Source organism: Homo sapiens, chromosome 5, assembly GCF_000001405.40.
Source record: "Homo sapiens chromosome 5, GRCh38.p14 Primary Assembly".
Lineage (NCBI taxonomy): Eukaryota > Metazoa > Chordata > Mammalia > Primates > Hominidae > Homo > Homo sapiens.
In genome coordinates, this window is record NC_000005.10 from 126,578,005 (window position 1) to 126,599,472 (window position 21,468).

The 21,468-nt window shown below is 45.3% G+C and overlaps 1 protein-coding gene across 3 annotated transcripts in view, besides 1 other annotated feature; it reads right to left on the reverse strand.

The window, feature by feature from the left end:
* The window catches only part of ALDH7A1 (aldehyde dehydrogenase 7 family member A1), a 53,379-nt gene extending 36,164 nt beyond the window's left edge, over positions 1-17,215 (reverse strand). For all 3 annotated transcript variants that reach the window (NM_001202404.2, NM_001182.5, NM_001201377.2), the window contains exons 1-5: positions 17,003-17,215; positions 15,347-15,400; positions 14,660-14,725; positions 5,928-6,008; positions 4,847-4,970 (exon numbers count right to left, since the gene is read on the reverse strand). In NM_001202404.2, the coding sequence (NP_001189333.2) occupies positions 4,847-4,970; positions 5,928-6,008; positions 14,660-14,725; positions 15,347-15,400; positions 17,003-17,194 (517 nt within the window). In that variant the 5' untranslated portion in view covers positions 17,195-17,215. The remainder of the gene's footprint in view (positions 1-4,846; positions 4,971-5,927; positions 6,009-14,659; positions 14,726-15,346; positions 15,401-17,002) is intronic.
* Positions 19,519-19,682: a silencer, noted in NCBI's record as "fragment chr5:125933215-125933378 (GRCh37/hg19 assembly coordinates)". NCBI's record gives its function as "represses an EF-1alpha promoter that drives an FKBP-Casp9 reporter gene in an ReSE screen in K562 erythroleukemia cells {active_cell/tissue: K562}" and the evidence as "EXISTENCE:reporter gene assay evidence [ECO:0000049][PMID:32094911]".

The window sequence follows — 21,468 nt, forward strand, 5'->3', positions numbered from 1 at the left end:
CCGGGCGTGGTGGCTCACTCCTGTAATCCCAGCACTTTGGGAGGCCAAGGCAGGTGGACTCCCGACTTGAGGTCGGGAGTTCAAGATCAGCCTGGCCAACATGGTGAAACCCTGTCTCTACTGAAAAAACAAAAATTAGCCGGGCGTGGTGGCGGGTGCCTGTAATCCCAGCTACTCAGGAGACTGAGGCAGGAGAATCACTTGACCCCGGGAGGCAGAGGTTGCAGTGAGCCGAGATCCTGCCATTACACTCCAGCCTGGGCAACAGAGGGAGACTCCGCCTCAAAAAATAAATAAATAAATAAAATGAATTACGCAAATCTTTACATTCACTATAAGAAACTAAAAATACAAATCAGCTAGGAGCAGTGGCTCATGCCTACAATGTCCAGCACTTTGGGATGCTGGGACGGGAGAATCACTTGAGCTCAGTTTGAGACTTGGATCAACATGGCAAGACCCCTGACTCTACAAAAAAAATTAAAAATTAGTTAGGTGTGATTGGTTATATGCCTGTAGTCCCAGCTACTTGGGAGGCTGAGGAGAACTGCTTGAGCCCAGGGTATTGAGGCTGAAGTGACCTGGGATTGCACCACTGCACTCCAGCCTGGACAACAGAGTAAGACCCTGTATCAAAAAAAAAAAAAAAAAGAAAGAAAAGAAAAGAAAAAACAAACAAAAATATTGTATTTTAAATACAAACTTACAAACTTTAAAGTCACCCATAATCCTACAAGGTGTTTATTTTAATTAAAGGCAGCTGGACAGTATAGAACCATACCACACGAATACGATGGTTCACAAATCCCAGTTAAAACCACAGACCAACTGGAAAGGTGGCTGTCCCAGCCATCAGTCTTTCTAGCCACACTCACACTGCTAGCTAGGATGAGGGACCATACCAGACACAGCACCTCACTCCTGGGCCCTCCTTAATCTGGGCACCTTAATCCCTAGAGATGAAGTGCTGGCACAGCCTCTTCCTGGCAGGGCCTGCCTCTTCCTGGCAGGGCCTGCCTCCTCCTCTCCAGCCCTCCCATCTCTGCCCTGATGTCACCCCCTTGCTTATAACCCTGTGGATTTTGGATACCTACTGTAGCTATTCTCAGAATAAAGTCCAATCTCCTTGTCAGACAAAATCTCTTCCCGAGGTTCTCTTTCCACTCTATCTGCCCTACCACTGCACCCTCCAGCTGTGCTGAAGCAATGCAATCCTCCCAAATAAGCCAGACCCTCTCAGCCTTCACACAGGCTTCTTCCTTCTTTAAAACAACTTCCAGCACTCCACTCCTTCTCCTCTTTGTCCCATTTGGGACCTTACCTTGGCTAACCTTCTCTTGGAGGCCTTCCTGGACTGCACTCATGAGGCTGGGTTAGGGGATCCCAGCTATGTGCCCACCATCCTACCGTTTACTCCCTCATATTACTTACCATGCTGGATTATGCTGGATATAATTACCTGTTTATTTATCTCCCACTCTAAGGTATAATTTATAAGCTTATAAATCCCTTGAGGACAGGGACTATGCCTTATAGCTCGAGTATCACCTAGTAGACTACCCGGCACCTGATAGATGCTCCATAAGCATTTATTGAATTAATAAAGCCAAAGTTACCCCAAAGTCTCTACATAAATGAGTAAACTGCTTTAAAAAAAAAAATAGAAGTGTAAGCTAGGTGTGGTGGCTCATGCCTACAATCCCAACACTTTGAGTGGCCAAGGCAGGAGGATTATTTGAGCCAAGGAGTTCTAGACCAGCCTAGGCCACATAGTGCAACCTCGTCTCTACAAGAAAAATTTTTAAATTAGCTGGGCTTGGTGGCATGTGCCTGTAATCCCAGCTACTCAGGAGGCTGAGGTGGAAAGATTGCTTGAGTCCAGGAGGTCCAAGCTGCAAGGGGCTATAATCACACCACTGCACTCCAGCCTGGGTGACAGATCCTATCTCAAATAAACAAACGAAAATGTGCAAGCAATTGAGAAAAATTTTAATTGTTAATTGTGAGGCAGGCATCATAGTAGGTATAAATCAAATAGTTACCTGCTTGCACATGTACATATCCCCAAATTGGAGGTTTATTGACTGTATTGTTGTTATTGCTGTTGTTGTTGAGACAGAGTTTTCTTCTGTTGCCCAGGTTGGAGAACAATGGCGTGATCTCGGCTCACTGCAACCTCCGCTTCCCAGGTTCAAGTGATTCTCCTGCCTCAGCCTCCCGAGTAGCTGGGATTACAGGAATGTGCCACCATGCCCAGCTAATCCGTATTTTTATTAGAGATGGGGTTTTTCCATGTTGGTCAGGCTGGTCTTAAACTCCCGACCTTAAGTGATCCGCCCACCTCTGCCTCCCAAAGTGCTGGGATTACAGGCGTGAGCCACCACGGTGGGCCTATTAACTTTTCTTAGCTAGAAAAAAACTCTTGAAAGTGTTCAATGACATAAAATTAATATTGGATAATGGGAATCATTGCTAGATATCTAATTAAGGACATTAAGTGTCCTTAATTAGACTTAAAAAGACTCCCCCAACTCTTTCTACAAGTAGGGAATTTACTCAATATTCCAAGAAAAAGAGAAAAATATGATTTTTTAAAAAATATTATTTCCTTATTATAAATGTAACCTAATAACCATCATGGAAATTTAGAAAATGCAGAAAAATAGAAGAAAATCCACTACTAGTAATTCTGCCACAGAGATAACCACTGCTACCACTTTAGCATACACTTCTATCCCACCATTGCCAATGCAGACATACAGTCACCTGTTTTGCTCTATCCACATTGCAAACATCACAAATTGCTTACACTCTTAACCTCATTTTTTTTTTTTTTTGAGATGGAGTTTCGCTCTTGTTGTCCAGGCTGCAGTGCAATGGCACGATCTCGGCTCACCGCCACCTCCGCCTCCCGGGTTCAAGCGATTCTCCTGCCTCAGCCTCCCGAGTAGCTGGGATTACAGGCATGCGCCACCATGCCTCACTAATTTTGTATTTTTAGTGGAAATGGGGTTTCTCCATGTTGGCCAGGATGGTCTCTAACTCCCGACCTCAGGTGATCTGCCCACCTTGGCCTCCTGAAGTGCTGGGATTACAGGTGTGAGCCATCTTGTCCAGCTTTTTTTTTTTTCTTACTCTTGCTGTCATCTTAGTATCTTCATTGTTAAAACCTCAGAGTATAAGATTGGTTCTTACAGAACAGCTTGTAATAGCAAAACACTGAAAACAGCCCTACATATACATCATTTGGAAGCTGACTAAATAAATTATAGTCTCTTTATAACAAAATAGATAGCTGCAAACACAGATGAAGGAAGCCCCTTAATAGAATAATACGAAAACAATTTCCAGCCTGACACAGTGGCTCACGCCTGCAATCCTAACACTTTGGGAGGTTGAGACAGGCAGATCACCTGAGCCCCGGAGTTCGAGACCAGCTGGGCAACACTGCAAAACCCCACCTCTACAAAAAAAAAAAAATAGCCAGGTATGGTGGCATGCACCTACAGTCCTAGCTGAGGTAGGAGGATCACCTGATCCCGGGGATGTTGAGGCTGCAGTGAACTGTGATCATGCCACTACATTCTGGCCTGGGCAAGACAGTAAAATCCTGTCTCAAAAAAAGAAAACAAAAAAACAATTTCCAAGATATATTATTGAATATAAAAGTATAAAACAGAACGTACAGTTTGCGGCCGGGCACAGTGGCTCACGCCTGTAATCCCAGCACTCTGGGAGGCCAAGGTGGGTGGATCATGAGGTGAGGAGTTCAAGAGCAGCCTGGCCAGGATGGTGAAACCCCATCTCTACCAAAAATACAAAAATTAGCCGGGTGTGATGGTGCACACCTGTAATCCCAGCTACTCAGGAGTCTGAGGCAGAAGAATCGCTTGAACCCGGGAGGTGGAGGTTGCAGTGAGCCAAGATCGCGCCACTGCACTCCAGCCTGGGCAACAGAGCGAGACTCCATCTCAAAAAAAAAAAAATGTATAGTTTGCTACATATTTGGCTGTACGTGCTCTAAAAAGATACACAAGGGCCTAGGAAGGTGGCTCATGCCTATAATCCCAGCTACTCGGGAGGCTGAAGGGGAGGATCACTTGAGGAGAGAAGTTTGAGACCAGCCTGAACAACACAGCAAGATCCTACAAAATATAAAAAAGACACACAAGAAATTGAAAGCATTCACTACTTCCATGGGGTACTATGGCTTAGTCATGGGGGTAGGAGGGAAACTTTTAATCCTTCAACCTTTTATTGCTTTCTTATTTTCTGATATGAATCTATCGTTTCTTCAAAAAAAATTAACATTAGTATAATTTAAAAATAAGTAAATAAAATCCTCCCGTAAAAGTGTGGGTTAGGGGAAGACAACCTTCACAAACATTATTTTTAGTACATGCTAATAGTCTACCAAAATTGGCTTAGATTTTTTCCCCTTATGATTCGACATTTAGGTCATTTCTAATGTTTTTTATTGATGCCACAATGAACTTCTTTAAACATAACTTCTGTCTTATTTCAGATTATTTACTTAGATTCTTAAAACTGGGCTCTTTAAAGTTAGAGCTCTTTGGGTATATTTCCAAATCGTTTTACAGATGAGTTAAAAGTGTCTTACCCGTGGACTTGCCAACATTAAGTTTTATCTTTAAAACAAAAAGGTTCTTGATCTAACATTTTCATCTGTTTTAATTTGCATTTCTTTGAAAGATTGAGGATATTTTCACATATTTATGCCACTTGAAATTTCTCTTTTGCACAGTCAATAGCCAGAGTATTTTATTTTTTTTGGAGCTCTGTATATCAGAGTACAAAACTCAGCTTAACTAATTTCATTGCTTACTTTCAGAAGGCAAGATAGGTCCTCCAATCATCCTTGATAAACCAACAGCATAGTCACAGATATCCACATACTCCTGAACTTCACCCACACCTTCCACTAAGATTTTCCCCATCTCCAAAGACACCTAGAAATATAAAACGACAAGCAGAATTTTTCCAACAGAATTCACATTATAAACATTAAATTAAAGAAAGGGGGAAGCAAAACATGTTTTGTAAATGTAATAAACTGAAGAAAGTCTGTTTCATTTTCCAAAGAATTTTAAAACACAACAATTGCCTTCACTTTTTCCTGTCTACCTTGTTAATCTTTCCTCTAAGGAAAGAATTTTTAAAATATATAAAGTACAACCGGGCACAGTGGCTCATGCCTATAATCCCAGCACTTTGGGAGGCCAAGGCGGGCGGATCACCTGAGGTCAGGAGTTCAAGACCAGCCTGGCCAACATGGTGAAACTTTGTCTCTACTAAAAATACAAAAATCAGCCGGGCATGGTGGTGCACACCTGTAATCCCAGCTACTCGGGAGGCTGAGGCAGGAGAATCGCTTGAACCCAGGAGGGGGAGGTTGCAGTGAGCCAAGATCCTGCCATTGCACTCCAGCCTGGGCAATAAGAGCAAGACTCCATCTCAAAAATAAATAAATAAATAAATAAATAATAAAATATAATATAATATAAATTACTTTTCTTAAAAACTCTTCTAGCCAAGTGTGGTGGCCCATGCCTATAATCCCAGCACTTTGAGAGGCCGAGGCAGGCAGGATCACCTGAGGTTAGGAGTTCAAGACCAGCCTGGCCAACATGATGAAACCCCATGTCTACTTTAAAAATACAAAAAATTAGCCAGCCGTGGTGGCACAAGCCTGTAATCCCAGCTACTCGGGAGGCTCAGGCAGGGGAATTGCTGGAACATGGGAGGCAGAGGCTGCAGTGAGCCAAGATTTTACCACTGCACTCCAGCCTGGGTGACAGCAAGACTCCATCTCAAAAAAAAAAAACCTCACAATTTTATATATAGAAAAGCATGACAGCCTTATTGTCCACTCAAAGAATTGTGTATATACTACAAAAATACTTTACCAAGCTTCCTAGTACTTGGATCTTCTCCCGCAAGGCATCGCCAATCTGTCTTACTATTTCTCCTCGTTTTGGAGCAGGAATCTAAGAAAAGAATGCAATTTTTGTGTCTGATTCAAAGCATAAATTCATGTTTATAACACAGTATTGGATGTGTGCTGTAAAAGAACAAATTACAATCATATCAAAGAAGACTTTTGATCACATCAAAACTGTGATATGGCCAGGCACTGGAGCCAAAATAAGAAGCAAGGCATTCATGGAGCAAATATCTACTGGAAGGCACAGAGGAGAAGAAAAGGCAACAAATAATTACAAATTGCCAACAAATAATTACAAATTGCCATCAGGGTTTTAAAGACAAAGGAAATAAAAAGGAAGCTGAGACAGAGAAAAACAGCAAGATTGGAGGGGAAATGGGTAAGTTACTTTACCTAAAAGGATGGCAGGAGGCTGGGCGTGGTGGCTCACACCTGTAATCCCAACACTTTGGGAGGCTGAGGCGGGCAGATCACAAGGTCAGGAGTTCGAGACCAGCCTGGGCAACATGGTGAAACCCCGTCTCTACTAAAAATACAAAAATTAGCTGGGCATGGTGGTGTGCGCCTGTAATCCCAGCTAGTCAGGAGGCTGAGGCAGGAGAATCGCTTGAACCCAGGAGGCAGAGGTTGCAGTGAGCTGAGATCACGCCATTGCACTCCAGCCTGGGCAACAAAGTGACACTCCATCTCAAAAAAAAAAAAAAAAAAAAGATTGCAGTGGTAACAAGGGAAACAGCAAGTGGATTCACGGTCTGTTTTGGGAGTAGAATTGACAGGACACACAGATGCAGGAAATGAAGAGAATTAAAGAACTCAGGATAACTTCCCGCTCTCTGGCTTAAATAGGTAGGTAGATGAAGTATAATTACTGGGATGAAGAAGACTTGAAGGGAAACATCAGGTTTTGGGGGTAAAGAGCACAGCTTATGTCACATAAAGTTTGAGATGTGATTTATGAATGAGACACAATTTCTCCAACTGTGACCATCACTCCCTCTCTCCCATCAAGTTCTTCCCAATTCTGCCTCTCCTTCAAAGTACAGCTAAGGCTGGGCGCGGTGGCTCACGTCTATAATCCCAGCACTTGAGAAGCTGAGGCAGGTGGATCACTTGGGGTCAGGAGTTCAAGACGAGCCTGGCCAACATGGTGAAACCCCATCTTTACTAAAAATACAAAAATTAGCCGGGCATGGTGGCAGGTGCCTGTAATCCCAGCTACTTGGGAGGCTGAAGCAGGAGAATCACTTGAACCCCGGAGGGGGAGGTTGCAGGGAGCTGAGATCCCGCCATTGCACTCCGGCCTGGATGACAAGAGTGAAATTCTGTCTCAAAAAAAATAATAAAGTACAGGTAAAAGGAACATTCCCCTCCATGAAACCTTCCCCCAGGCAGAAGCCAATCACACCCTCCCCCTAACTCCCACTGCTCCTAATCACAGCACTGCTCACACTTGCCTCACAGAGCTTGGCTGTGAGCTCAAGGTTCTTCCTTGCTCTCTCTTCTCCCCAAGTGTATCACTGTCTCTTAGTACAGCTTCTCTGGATGGTCACTTTGCAATCTATTAACATTTAAAACATTCCTACCCTTTGTTTTATCTATTTATTTTTTGAGACGGGGTCTCGCTCTGTCACGCCCAGGCTTGAGTGCAGTGGCGCGATCTCGGCTCAGTGCAACCTCTGCCTCCTGGGTTCAAGTGATTCTCCTGCCTCAGCCTCCCAAGTAGCTGGCATTACAGGCGCCTGCCACCACGCCCGGCTAATTTTCTGTATTTTTAGCAGAGATGGGGTTTCACCATGTTGGTCAGGCTGGTCTCGAACTCCTGATCCCAGGTAATCCGCCTGCCTCGGCCTCCCAAAGTGCTGGGATTACAGGCATGACATTCCTACCCTTTAACTAAGCAGCTCTGCTTACAGAAACTGAGCTTATATACATAAGTATGCAAAAGTATAGGTACAATGATATTCATTGCAGTGCTGTTTCTAGTAAAGAAAAAAAGAAACCAACTGTCCATCAGCACATGATTGGTTAATTACGGAACAGTGATAAAATAAGGTCGATTTTTATGGGAAAACATTGAAAAGCTATAATAGAATAATACAAAACAAGAAAACACTTATGGTAAGTAAACTTTTGCTTAAATTTGGAGCAACATATACCAAGCTGTTCACAATGGTTTTTTGTGGGGAATGAAATTATAACAGATTTTCATCCACAATTTATATGTTTGCAATGTCTGTCATTTTCACAACATATGCACACTTTTGGAAACAGGAAACAAAAACCTGTAGCATTATATCAATCAGCACATAACCTATACATTTCCTAGCACATGGTGTGGGTTTAATGATGTTTCAATTGAATTTAGTCAGCACATTTATAAGCTTAGTTAAGTTGGTTAATTTCAACTCAGAATGGCCAGTATACATGGCCTTTTACCTCCCATTCTGGACACATTTTATTCAGTCAGTCTTTCAACAAATAATTATTGCATATGTTCTATGTGCCAGATACTGTGCTAATCCCTGGATATTCTACTGCAAATGAGGCAGTTACAATTCTTGCCCTCTATAGAGCTGACAGTCCATGGGGGTGATAAAGGCAAGAAACAGGCAATTACAATCTAATGTGGCAAATGCCATGAAAGGGGAGCTAGATTTCACAACTGGAGCAACCTGAAGTAGGCTTTTTACAAGTTTAGAAGTTTAGGGCTAAGACCTAAAGCATGCCAGGTGTTGTGAAGAGGTAGGCAAAGTGGAGGAAAAGCATGGGGTTAGAGGGGTACAGAGCATATGCAAAGGCTGAAAAGCAAGAGAAAGTGGTTTTGGAAAATTATGGCCGGGGGCTGTGGTTCCACGCCTGTATTCCCAGCACTTTGGGAGGCCGAGGCAGGTGGATCATTTGAGATCAGGAGTTCAAGACCAGCTTGGCCAACATGGTGAGACCCTGTCTCTACTAAAAATACAAAAATTAGCCACGCTTGGTACCTGTAATCCCAGCTACTCAGGAGATTGAGGCAGGAGAATCACTTGAACCCAGGAGGCAGAGGTTGCAGTGTGCCGAGATCGCACCACTGCACTCCAGCCTGGGTGACAGAGTAAGACTGTCTCAAAAAAAAGAAAAAAGAAAGAAAAAAAAAAACAGTTCCCTGTCTTCAAGAACAGAGAGACTCCTACTCTTTCTCACCAGAGATGGGAGGGAAAATGAGGACACATGGGGATGCAGACGGCAGAAATGGGCTACATTCTGTGCTGAAACTGGCTCATGGAAGAAAGCAGCAAGTCTATTCCTTAGAAAGAAATCAATTTCTATAAACTACCTTTCCATATGTTTCACTTTGTTTCCATTTTCCTTAAAGAAAAATGTTCCCTTTGAAAAATTCTAGAATTGGCCAGTCACAGTGGCTCATGCCTGTAATCCTAGCACTTTGGGAGGCCAAGGCGGGTGGATGGCTTGCGGTCAGGAATTCAAAACCAGCCTGGCCAACGTGGTGAAACCCCATCTCTGCTAAAAATATTTAAAAAATTGGTGGCGGGCACCTGTAATCCCAGCTACTTGGTAGGCTGAGGTAGGAGAATCGCTTGAACCGGGGAGGCAGGGCTTGCAGTGAGCCGAGATGGCACCATTGCACTCCAGCCTGGGCAACAAGAGCAAAACTCTGTCTCAAAAAAAAAAAGAAAAAGAAAAATTCTAGAATTAACTCAAATGAACTACATGAAACAGTGGTTTGTCCTAACACAGTCAAGGTCAGCCAAATGGATGAGGGCCAAGCAGAGAAGCCTCACGTGAGGGAGGATCGAGATGGGAAAGCTTCTGTGACGAGAAGGGGGTCAAGCTTTGGTCTGTTCTTACCGAGCCTCTCTAAGTCCCTGCCCCAGGGAGGAGCCCCAGAGCACAATTAGGAAAAACTCTGCCTCTTCCCTAAACCTTGAACTCAATTGCTTAACTCAAAATCAAACAAGTAGGATCCCCAGCTGACTCTACTATTACCCAGGAAAGCAACCTGTTCCCACGTAGCACCCCCATTCTATTTGTTGGGAGGTCTAAAAAGCACCAGAAGTATGAGAAAGGATGTTAGGTGCAGAGGCTGGCATGGTGGGTAAGAGTTGACTGCCAAATGAGATCCTGAATGTGAAAATAGCAACAAAAAAAGTACAGCCCAATATTTAAGAAAGATCATAATGTCAGCTGGCACTCCCTAGGGCAAAGATAGATTTAAAAACCAGTTCATTCCAGGTGTGGTGGCTCATGCCTGTACTTTGGGAGGCAGAGGTGGGCAGATCACTTGAGGTCAGGAGTTCAAGACCAACCTGGCCAACATGGTGAAACCCTGTTCTCTACTAAAAAATACAAAAAAAAAACATTAGCCGGGCATGGTGGCTCATGCCTGTAGTCCCGGCTACTCAGGAAGATGAGGCAGGAGAATCACTTGAGTCTAGGAGGCAGAGGTTGCAGTGAGCCAAGATCATGCCAGTGCACTCCAGCCTAGGCAAGAGCAAGACTCAGTCTCAGAATAAAAACCAGTTCAGGAAAAGACAAGACCCTGAATTCACATAAATTCTTTTTTTTTCAAATGTTTGTATTTACCCTAGATAAATAGACACATACAATAGACGTTTCTAGTCAAAAGACAACATGTTAAGTTGCACTAGCATTCAAAACAGGATATGCAAAGAGTGAACCCTCATGTAAATTGTGTACTTTAGTTTATAATAACACATGAACATTGGCTCATCAGTTGTAACAAAATATGACATACTAATGCAAAATGTTAATAACAGGGGAAATGGCCTATTACAGGCATGGTGGCTCATGCCTGTAATCCCAGCACTTTGGGAGGTTGAGGTGGGTAAATTGCGTGAGCCCAGGAGTCTGAGACCAGCCTAGGCAACAGAGCAAAACCTCATCTCTACAAAAAATACAAAAATTAGCCAGGTGTGGAGGAACATGCCTGTAGTCCTAGTTACCAAGGAGGCTGAGGTGGGAGGATTGCTTGAGCCCAGGAGGTCAAAGCTGCAGTGAGCCGTGAGCTGTGAGCATGCCACTGTACACTAGCCTGGGCGACTCTGTCTTAAAAAAAAAAAAGAAGAAAAGGAAACTTGGGAAGAGGAATGAGGGAGTAATGGGAATTCTGTACTTTCTACTCGTTTTTCTGTAAATTTAAAACTGCTGTAAAAAATAAAAGTCTATTAATTTCTTTTTTCCTTTGAGACAGAGTTTTGCTCTTGTTGCCCAGGCTGGGGTGCAATGGCTCAATCTCCGCTCACTGCAAGGTCGGCCTCCCAGGTTCAAGTGATTCTCCTGCCTCAGCCTCCCAAGTAGCTGGGGTTACAGGCGCGCACCACCATGCCTGGCTAATTTTGTATTTTTAGTAGAAACGGGGTTTCTCCATGTTGGTCAGGCTGGTCTCGAACTCCCAACCTCAGGTGATCCGCCCACTTGGCCTCCCAAAGTGCTGGGATTACAGGCGTGAGCCATCGTGCCTGGTCTATTTTTTTGTTTTTGTTTTTTTTAAGTATATATGTATAGGAAGGCCAGGTGAAGTGGCTAACGCCTGTAATCCAAACACTTTGGGAGGCCAAGGTGGGTGGATCACGAGTTCAGGAGTTCGAGACCAACCTGGCCAGTATGGTGAAACCCTGTCTCTACTAACAATACAAAAATTAGCCAGGCCTGCCACTCCGTCTGGGAAGTGAGGAGCGCCCTGCCCAGCCACCGCCCCATCTGGGATGTGAGGAGCGCCACTGCCCGGCCGCCCCACCATCTGGGAAGTGAGGAGTGCCTCTGCCCAGCCACCCAACTGACTGGGAAGTGAGGAGCGCCTCTGCTCGGCTGCCCACCATCTGGGAAGTGAGGAGGACCTCTGCCCAGCTGCCGCCCCATCTGGGAAGTAAGAAGCGCCTCTGCCCAGCTGCCCACTGTCTGGGAAGTGAGGAGCACCTCTGCCCAGCTGCCCAATGTCTGGGAAGCGAGGAGTGCCTCTGCCCAGCTGCTGCCCCATCTGGAAAGTGAGGAGCGCCTCTGCCCAGCTGCCCACTGTCTGGGAAGTGAGGAGTGCCTCTGCCCAGCTGCCGCCCCGTCTGGAAAGTGAAGAGCGCCTCTGCCCAGCTGCCACTGTCTGGGAAGTGAGGAGCACCTCTGCCCAGCTGCCACCCCGTCTGGAAAGTGAAGAGCGCCTCTGCCCGGCCGCCACCCTGTCTGGGAAGTGAAGAGCGCCTCTGCCCGGCCACCGCCCTGTCTGGGAAGTGAGGAGCGCCTCTGCCCGGCCGCTGCCCTGTCTGGGAAGTGAGGAGCCCCTCTGCCTGGCCGCTGTGCAACCTTCCAAGTGTGAAGTGACAGCCTTGTGTGTGATCTTTTCTGTCTTCTCCAAGTTTGCATTTTTGATGTTAAAGTTTACTTTTTAATTAAAAGTTTTAAATTGGAGAATATATTTTTTAAAAAAATTAGCCAGGCCTGGTGGCGCACACCTGTAGTTTCAGCTACTTGGGAGACTGAGGCAGGAGAATCACTTGAACCCGAAAGGCAGAGGTTGCAGTGAGCTGAGATCACACCACTGCAGAGTGACAGAGTGAGACTCCGTCTCAAAAGAAAAAAGTATGTATGTATAGGAAAACAACAATTTAAAAAAAATTATGCAGCTGGGCCTGGTGGTTCACGCCTGTAATCCCAGCACTTTGGGAGGCCAAAGAGGGCAGATCGTTTGAACTTAGGAGTTCGAGACCGCCCTGGGCAATATGGTGAAACCCCACCTCTACAAAAAATACAAAAAAATTAGCCAGGCATGGTGGTGTGTACGTGTAATCCCAGCCACTTGGGAGGCTGAGATGGGAGGATCCCAGGCCCAGAAGGCAGAGGTTACAGTGAGCCAAGATTGGGCCACTGCACTCCAGCCTGGGTGACAGAGCCAGACCCTGTCTTAAAAAAAAAAAAAAAAAGCAATAACTTTAGGATGGTATGGAATGCAAGCATCACAGGTCACAAAATTTTATACACACCATGTATATATGGATGTACAATAATCACAACTATGAAATAAATACATGAAAGACTGGAAGGAAATGCACCAAAACCTAAACCTAATGAACATTTTGCATTGCAGAGGTTGGGGTAAGGGGACTAAATTTGTTTATCTTATTTACAGCATCAATCTTTTCTAAAAAAAAAGAATATTTATTACTTTTATGATCAGAAATAAATACAAGTAAGTTTTTAAAACAATGAAGGACACTGTTTTGGACAGTATTCTCTATCCAGGTAGGGTGAACTTTACCTAGCACACTGTTTACTTGTGGAAGTGGTATTTTTCTGCCCAAGGATACTTTTGATTGTGTATAATGGAACCCTAGGCCATACTTCTATCCATAATTAAAGTAGAGGAAAGATGTGCTTCATGCTTTACACAAAGACGTATCTTGGCTGATAAAAAAAAAAAGCTTCATCCAACCCAGGGCTCTGTTGGACAGGCTGCTACTCTGCAATCCACCCCAACCCCACCCAACCCCCCTTGCAATCACTCACTCAGAGAAAATACTGCAGCTCAGTAGTCCCTCAGCAGTCCCACACCCAACAGCACAGGGTTTAACTCAAATGTATTGAGGCTTTTCCTGTGCCAGGCTCTCCAGTAAGCACTTTAAATGATTAACTCATTTAACCCTCCCAGGAGACAGGCACCCCCAGTCTTTTCTTTTTACAAGACAAAGCACACTGAGGATGGGGGTAGTGGAAAGGTTGGGAAATCAGGCTATCCTAGTTCGCCTTTACTCTCCCCTTCTCAGGAGCCTAGCTCCCACCTAGTGACAAGTCAGTGTGGCCAGCCCAGCACCAGTCACAGTTCCCACATTTGCTCATTTAACCAATGGTGGAGACTCAGAGACCAAGGAGGCTGACTCTGCCTCACAGCCTGATTAGACAGTCAAGGAACATGAGCCTCTGGCCCTGAGAAAGGGATGCTGCCACTGCTCTTTTTTTTTTTTTTTTTTTTGAGATGGAGTCTCACTCTGTCGCCCAGGCTGGATGGAGTGCAGTGATGCTATCTTGGCTCACTGCAGCCTCCGCCTCCCAAGCTCAAGCAATTCTCCTGCCTCAGCCTCCTGAGTAGGCTGGATTACACGCGCCACCACATTCGGCTAATTTTTGTATTTTTACTAGAGACAGGGTTTCACCATGTTGGCCAGGCTGGTCTCGAACTCCTGACCTCAGATGATCCACCCGCCTCAGCCTCCTGAAGTGGTGGGATCACAAGCATGAGCCACCAGGTGCGATCTGCTGTTGTTCTTTAAACCAGGAATGCTGACCTATTGCTGAGATACTCCCAGACAAATCTGGCAGGGGGATAGAGGAGGAGCAAACAAATATTTCTGGCATAGATCTTCTATTCATTTTCTATTTAATTATAAATTCAAGTAATTTCAGTGAAGAATAGTGTTCACAGCTCAAGTTTATACTATACCAGCACAAAGTTTTAATTCATTTAAATTTATCCATTCAATGAATGGCAAGTACAAAAAAGGCACTACCCTAGAAATATGGCAGAGGTGTTTCCAAAACAGCAGGAGCCCTAGTACAGTATCACAGCCCCCAAGGAGCTCACATTTTAACAAGGCGGCACTGACCTGCTTATCAGATGTTTATGTATCTCATTGGTTACAATAGGCAAAGTGATCTTTTCTGAATTCTAGAAACAAAGGCCATACTTACATCTGCCCAGATTTTCCATGCTTCTCTTGCTTTCTTTACAGTTTCTTCATAGTCTGCCACACTGGCCTAAATTAAGAATTAGGGGGACAGAAAGGGGGAAATAAAGAGAAATGATGATGATCTTCTAGAACACAAAAATATTTTCAGAAAAGAGTTGGGAAATCTCTAGGGTTCCCTAACATTTATGGCTGAGAATGATTCCCACAGTCTATACTTCCAAAAACTAGCTAGAACCCGGTAAAACAGGTTGGTATCCAACTATGCTTTAAAACCTTGCTTTTCAAAGCAAAATCTGTCAGCTTCATCTGGGAACATGTAAGGCATATTAGAAATGCAGAACCTTGAGCTCCAACCCAGACTTCGGAAATCAGAAGCTTCATTCTAACAAAATCCTCAGGTACTTCAGAAGCACTGCCTTAAATGGCCCCCTGCCTAATCTTTCTACGCTTCACCTTTTCTATGGTTCTTTCCTTTTCACGCCCCCACCCAAGAGAGGACAGTCTCCCCCAGACAGTCCTAAATGACAAATGAAAAATAAACACATTATTCTCTTCATTTGTGATTTTATATTATTCTTGACCTGCCTAACTGGCTTCTGCCTCTAAAGAAAGCCTGCACAAACTCCTTGTGTATAATTTGAATTAAACACACACACACACACACACACACACACACACACACTCTTACCTGTCGGACTCTTGCTATTGGCTCGTTGTTAGCAGGGCAATAGGTCGTAATAACCTTAAAACAAAAGGATGATGATCATGTATAGAAAACGTAATCCCTTTTGAAGTAAGGGAATAGACCAAACGGGGAAGAAAAACAAGAGAGGAAAAAATGATATAATACCCAAACTCAAAAAGCTTAGGTTAACTTCTGTTACATATAAACCACTCTACAGAGGTTGTCTTTCATTTCTGACTTAAACATTAGAAACTACCTTTCTGCAAAACTCGCCTCTGACATCTCAATATTAGGCATATAAACAAAAGCCTTAACATAAGCAGTTATTTTGTCTCTTTTTCCATTAATAACAGACCAAACTGACTAGTTTTAGTTATTTCTTCTCTTCCTTACTCTGCCCACCCTCTGCTCAGAGATGAAATGGCCAAGGCAGGAAAACTGTTGGAAAGTCCCGTGTCCACACCAACTGGAGAGGTCTCAGGTCAACAATGAAAGGGAAAATCAAGGCACAGCTAAAAAGGCCTCCAAGAGCCTAATGATCAGATACCACACGGAAATCAGGATGAAACACCGAGGTCTGAGGAGCAATTAAAATTATCTGTATCTCCTACAGCCACTGATTACCAAAAGACGTGTTCCCTCTACCAAGGCAGGTTCATTATATAATATACAACGTCCAACAAAGTTTGTTAACTGTTACATAACATCCTCCTATAAAAAACTTTCTTTTAAAAAAAAATCTGGGCGATAATAACCTTACCTTTCCATTGTATTCTATAAAACATTGTTTTGAGCAGTAATGGGTATCAGGCGCGGTGTTAAGCCCTGGGCAATGGAGAAATGCTGAAAATCCAGTCCTCAAAGGAGTTCACAGCCCAACGTACAACATGGCAAGATTTCGGCACGTCCAAGCTTGCAAACTCCCAAAGAATTCAGGAAGGAAGATAACTTAAAACTACACTGAAGAACGTTACCTGCGGTGCACGTCACAGCTGAAGAGCCAGAGTTAAGCTCTAAATTAAGATCAGTTGCACCGCTCAGTGTGCCACATTTCTCACAAGACCATAGATCCCAAGACCATAAGGTTTTAATTTTTTTTTTTTTTTTTTTTTTTGAGACGGAATTTCGCTCTTGTTGCTCAGGCTGGAGTGCAATGGCACGATCTCGGCTCACTACGACCTCCACCTCCCGGGTTCAAGCGATTCTCCTGCCTCAGCCTCCCTAGTAGCTGGGATTACAGGCATGCGCCACCACGCCCGGCTATTTTGTATTTTTTTTAGTAGAGACAAGGTTTCTCCATGTCGGTCAGGCTGGTCTTGAACTCGCTACCTCAGGTGATCCGCCCGCCTAGGCCTCCCAAAGTGCTGGGATTACAGGGGTGAGCCACCGCGCCCGGTAGACCATAATGTTTTAAATATGCGCGGGAAGTTTAGCCCCTACAGCTCCAAAATGACGTCGATTCTGCATAGCACACAAGGACCTAAAATCTAAGTTTTTGTTTTAAAGGCACCCTACACGAGAAAACTTTTACTGTGGAGCTTCAAAATCTCCCATGCTACTACCGCATCCAGCGCCAGCGGGGAGTCGGTAGGTCAGTGCCCGCCCGGCCTCCTCGAGCGAGCCCCGGCGGCTGCAGAGATTTCTTGAGCGCCCGCGTACCTCTCCCCGGCCTCCCCAGCTTCCATTATACACGCCCTCGTTTTCCTCGCGGAGCCCCAGCTCTTTCAGCCACGCATACTGGGGCTGATTGATGAGGAGAGTGGACATGAAGGCGGCAGGCCTGCTCCAAGGTCCAGAGAGCTTGCTGGTCTTTGCAGCGTGCACACACAGCGCGCGAGGAAGGCGCCACATACTGAGCCCGGGACTCGGGATGAGCCCAAGGCCCTGAGAGCTGCTGAAATAGAGCCCCGCCCCCCGCCCGGGAGAACCCATTGGGCAGACCCGACCCCTCCCACTGGGCACGACCCCGCCACCGCCCCGTCTGCCCCTGGTCTTCCGGAGGAGCCTGCGGCTGAATCCTGCCTGGAACAATGGGAGTGCTACAGGGAGGAGTGGGCTGCTGCCATCTGGTGAAAGACTCCGGGAGCCACAGTTCCAGCTGGGAATTCTTTTCAGCAAAATATTGGCGCTGAAGTACAGTAGGCTATAGCAGGGGTTCTGAAACTGTAAAATGCGTGTAATGACCTGGTCGTCGTGGTAAATGCACATTCTGATTCAGTAAGTCTGGGCTAGGGTCGGAGAGCCGACATTCCTAACCAGCTCCTCAGCGATGGTGACGCCTCTTGTCCCTGGAGTAGGCAACGGAGGGTTTGTATTGGGGGGCGGGGGAAGGGTTGGTTGTTTTCACTGTTTTGGTAGATTACAAATTAAAGTTTTCTAATTAATGATAAATATTAGATTGCTGCATTTCCTCTATAAATATCCTGCCTGGGTATATTCTTACTTTTTTTTTTTTTTTTTTTTTTTGGAAACGGAGTTTCGCTCTTCTTGCCCAAGCTAGAGTGCAACGGCGCGATCTCGGCTCACTGCAACCTCCGCCTACCGGGTTCAAGCGGATTCTCTTGCCTCAGCCTCCTGAGTAGCTGGGATTACAGGTGTGCACCACCACACCCGGCTAATTTTTTGTATTTTTAGGACAAACGGGGTTTCACCATGTTAGTCAGGCTGGTCTGGAACTCCTGACCTGAGATGATCTGCCCGCCTCAGCCTCCGAAAGTGCTGGGATTAGAGACATGAGCCACTGCGCCCGGCCTCTTACTTTTTTTTTTTTAAGATGGAGTCTCGCCCTATCGCCCAGGCTGGAGTGCAATGGCACGATCTCCACTCACTGCAACTTCAACCTCCCAGGTTCAAGTGATTCTCCTGCCTCAGCCTCCCCAGTAGCTGGGATTACAGGTGCACACCACCACACCAGCTAATTTTTGTATTTTTAGTAGAGACGGGGTTTCTCCCTGTTGGCCAGGCTGCTCTCGAACTCCTGACCTCGTGATCTGCCCGCCTCTGCCTCCCAAAGTGCTGGGATTACAGGCGTGAGCCACTGTGTCCGGCCTATTCTTACATTTTTTTTTTTTTTTTGAGACGTAGTCTCGCACTGTTGCCAGGGCTGGAGTCCAGTGGCGCAATCTCGGCTCACTGCAACCTCCGCCTCCCGGGTTCACGCGATTCTCCTTGCCTCAGCCTCCTGCGTAGCTGGGATTACAGGCGCCCACCACCACGCTTGGCCAATTTTTTGTATTTTGAGTAGAGAAGGGGTTTCACTATGTTGGCCAGACTGGTCTCGAATTCCTGACCTCGTGATCCGCCCACCTCAGCCTCCCAAAGTGCTGGGATTACAGGTGTGAGCCACCACGCCCAGCTCTTACTCTTAAAGAATAAAGACAGTTTTGATCAATTTCTTTCATTCTCCATTTCTGTCTTCCTACAATATCCTTTCCATTCATGCATGCCCCATCTCATTTCACAACAACTGGGCCTACCCTGTAAAACGGAAATACTAATATCTCAATCATCATTATTTGAACATGAGTTTAAAATATGCTTGCCCACGCTAGAGTGCAGTGGCAGGATCATGGCTTACTGAAGCCTCGACCTCCGAGGCTCTAGTGATCCTCCTACCTCAACCTCCCAAGTAGCTGGGACTACAGGCATGCCATCACACCCAGCTAATTTTTGAGGATTTTTTGTAGAGACAGGGTTCCCCCATGTTGCCCAGGCTGGTCCGCACCTCCTCGGCTCAAGGGATCTGCCTTGCGCCTCCCAAAGAGCTGGGATTACAGGCTTGAGCCACCACTCCTGGCCCCTTTCATCTCTGCATTCAAACATAAGCTTTATCTCTTCCACCCTTATAGTACAAATGATTTGAACAAACACTCTGCATGTATCAAGCAGCTACCAGAAACTGCAGTTAGTACTAGGCATACATGAATGATGCTTCCTTTTGTAAATGCTACAGTTTTTTCCTGTTAGGGCAAGGACCATCTCTGACTCATCTTTGCATTGCTCCACAGTTCCTAGCATTGTTCCAAGTTTACGCTCACTTACATGAGTATATGAACAAATGAACCAATGAATAACACCGTCGAAGGAGTTGCAATGCCCTATCTGACATTGGTAATCTCTATCAACAACCCTGCTGCTGTCTTCCATCTACACGGAGGACCATGGTGCTAATTTTTCTAATTTTAATTCTCAGACTTTATTTATTTATTTATTTATTTATTTAGAGACGGAGTCTCACTCTGTCCCCAGGCTGGAGTGCAGTGGTGCAATCTTGGCTCACCACAACCTCCGCCTCCCGGGTTCAAGTGATTCTCCTGCCTCAGCCTCCTGAGTAGCTGGGACTACAGGCACTCACCACCACACCTGGCTAATTTTTCAATTTTTAGTAGAGACAGGGTTTCACCACGTTGGCCAGGATGGTCTCGATCTCCTGACCTCGTGATCCGCCCGCCTTGGCCTCCCAAAGTGCTGGGATTACAGGCATGAGCCACCGCGCCCGGCTAATTCTCAGACATTTTAACTGATTCTCATCACTTTCTATCAGCCAACAAGATTATTTGTCCACATATCCCAAAACCACATTCTTCCTTCTCTTCTCTTCCATTCACTTCAACGAAATTAAAATACATAGAGGCACAAAGGATTAGGAGCAACACATAGTGTCATCAAGGAGTGTTGGCTGCCCTCTCTTCAAGTCAAGAAGAGAAGTGTGCCCATCCTTCTGAACCAATTCTGGCTGGCTGGGCACAGTGGCTCATAGCTGTAATCCCAGAACTTTGGGAGGCCAAGATGGAAGGATCACTTGAGTGATCAGAAGTTCGAGACCAGCCTGGCCAACGTGGTGAAACCCCATCTCTACTAAAAATACAAAAATTAGCTGGATGTGGTGGTACACGTCTATAGTCCCAGCTACTTGGGAGGCTGAGCCTGGAGAATCGCTTAAACCCAGGAGATGGAGGTTGCAGAGCGCCAAGATCATACCATTGCACTCCAGCCTGGGGGACAGAGCAAGACCCTGTCTCAAAAAATAAATAAGCCAATTCTGGGAATATAGGCACCAGCAACTGCTCACATTGAAAACAGGGATTGCATCCTTCTTCTACATCCTTTTTTCAAAACTCCTGTTAGCCCTGCTTAACAGGAGTTCAGGAAAAATCAGAAATGATGAATTGTAATGAGGTTGAGCAGGAAGAGACAGAATTAAATGAATCATATATGAAAGCACTTTGAAAACTGCAAAGCCCTGTAGAAATGAAAATGCAGTGGCTAAACTCAGGACACCTTAAAACAGTTCTGTATTAAAAGTGGCAGAGGAGCCAGGTGCTGTGGCTCACGCCTGTAGTTCCAGCACTTTGGGAGGCCAAGGAGGGTAGATCAGGAGTCAGGGTGGTCAGGAGTTCAAGACCAGCCTGGCCAACATGGTCAAACCCCGTCTCTACTAAAAATACAAAAATTAGCCGAGCCTGGTGGTGCATGCCTGTAATCCCAGCTACTCGGGAGGCTGAGGGATGAGACTCGCTTGAACCCAGGAGGCAGAGGCTGCAGTGAGCCGAGATTTTGCCACTGCACTGTAGCCTAGGAGACAGAGCAAAACTCTTGTCTCAAAAAGAAGAAAGAATTTAATAGACAGGAGGCCACCCATGCCACGTGGGAGACAGAGTTATTACTCAAATCAATCTCTTGGAGAATTCAGGGACTAGTGTTTTTCAAAGATAGTTTGGGGAAGGGATGGAGTGGCTAAGCAATGGGTTCTTGCTGCTTATTGGTTGGGGATGCAGTCATAGGGGTATGGGAAATTGTCCTCAAGCAGCTCGACAACTTCTGTGTGGGAACCCAGAAGCGGTTAGAGGTTCAGGTGGAACCATTGGTAGTCAGACATGCAAAATATCTGAAAAGATATCTCAAAACGCCAATCTTAGGGTCTACAATAGTGATATTATCTGGAAGAGTAATGGAAAAGTTGCATACCTTGTGACCTCTGGGATAATGACTGGCAACGGTTTATGTCTACACCTTAGCAGAATTCAGCCTCCTTTATCCGTCTACCCTGGTGGTCTCTTACTAGCTTTACAAAGGCGGTTGGCTTTTGGGGAAGGGTTATTATCATTTAAACTATAAACTAAATG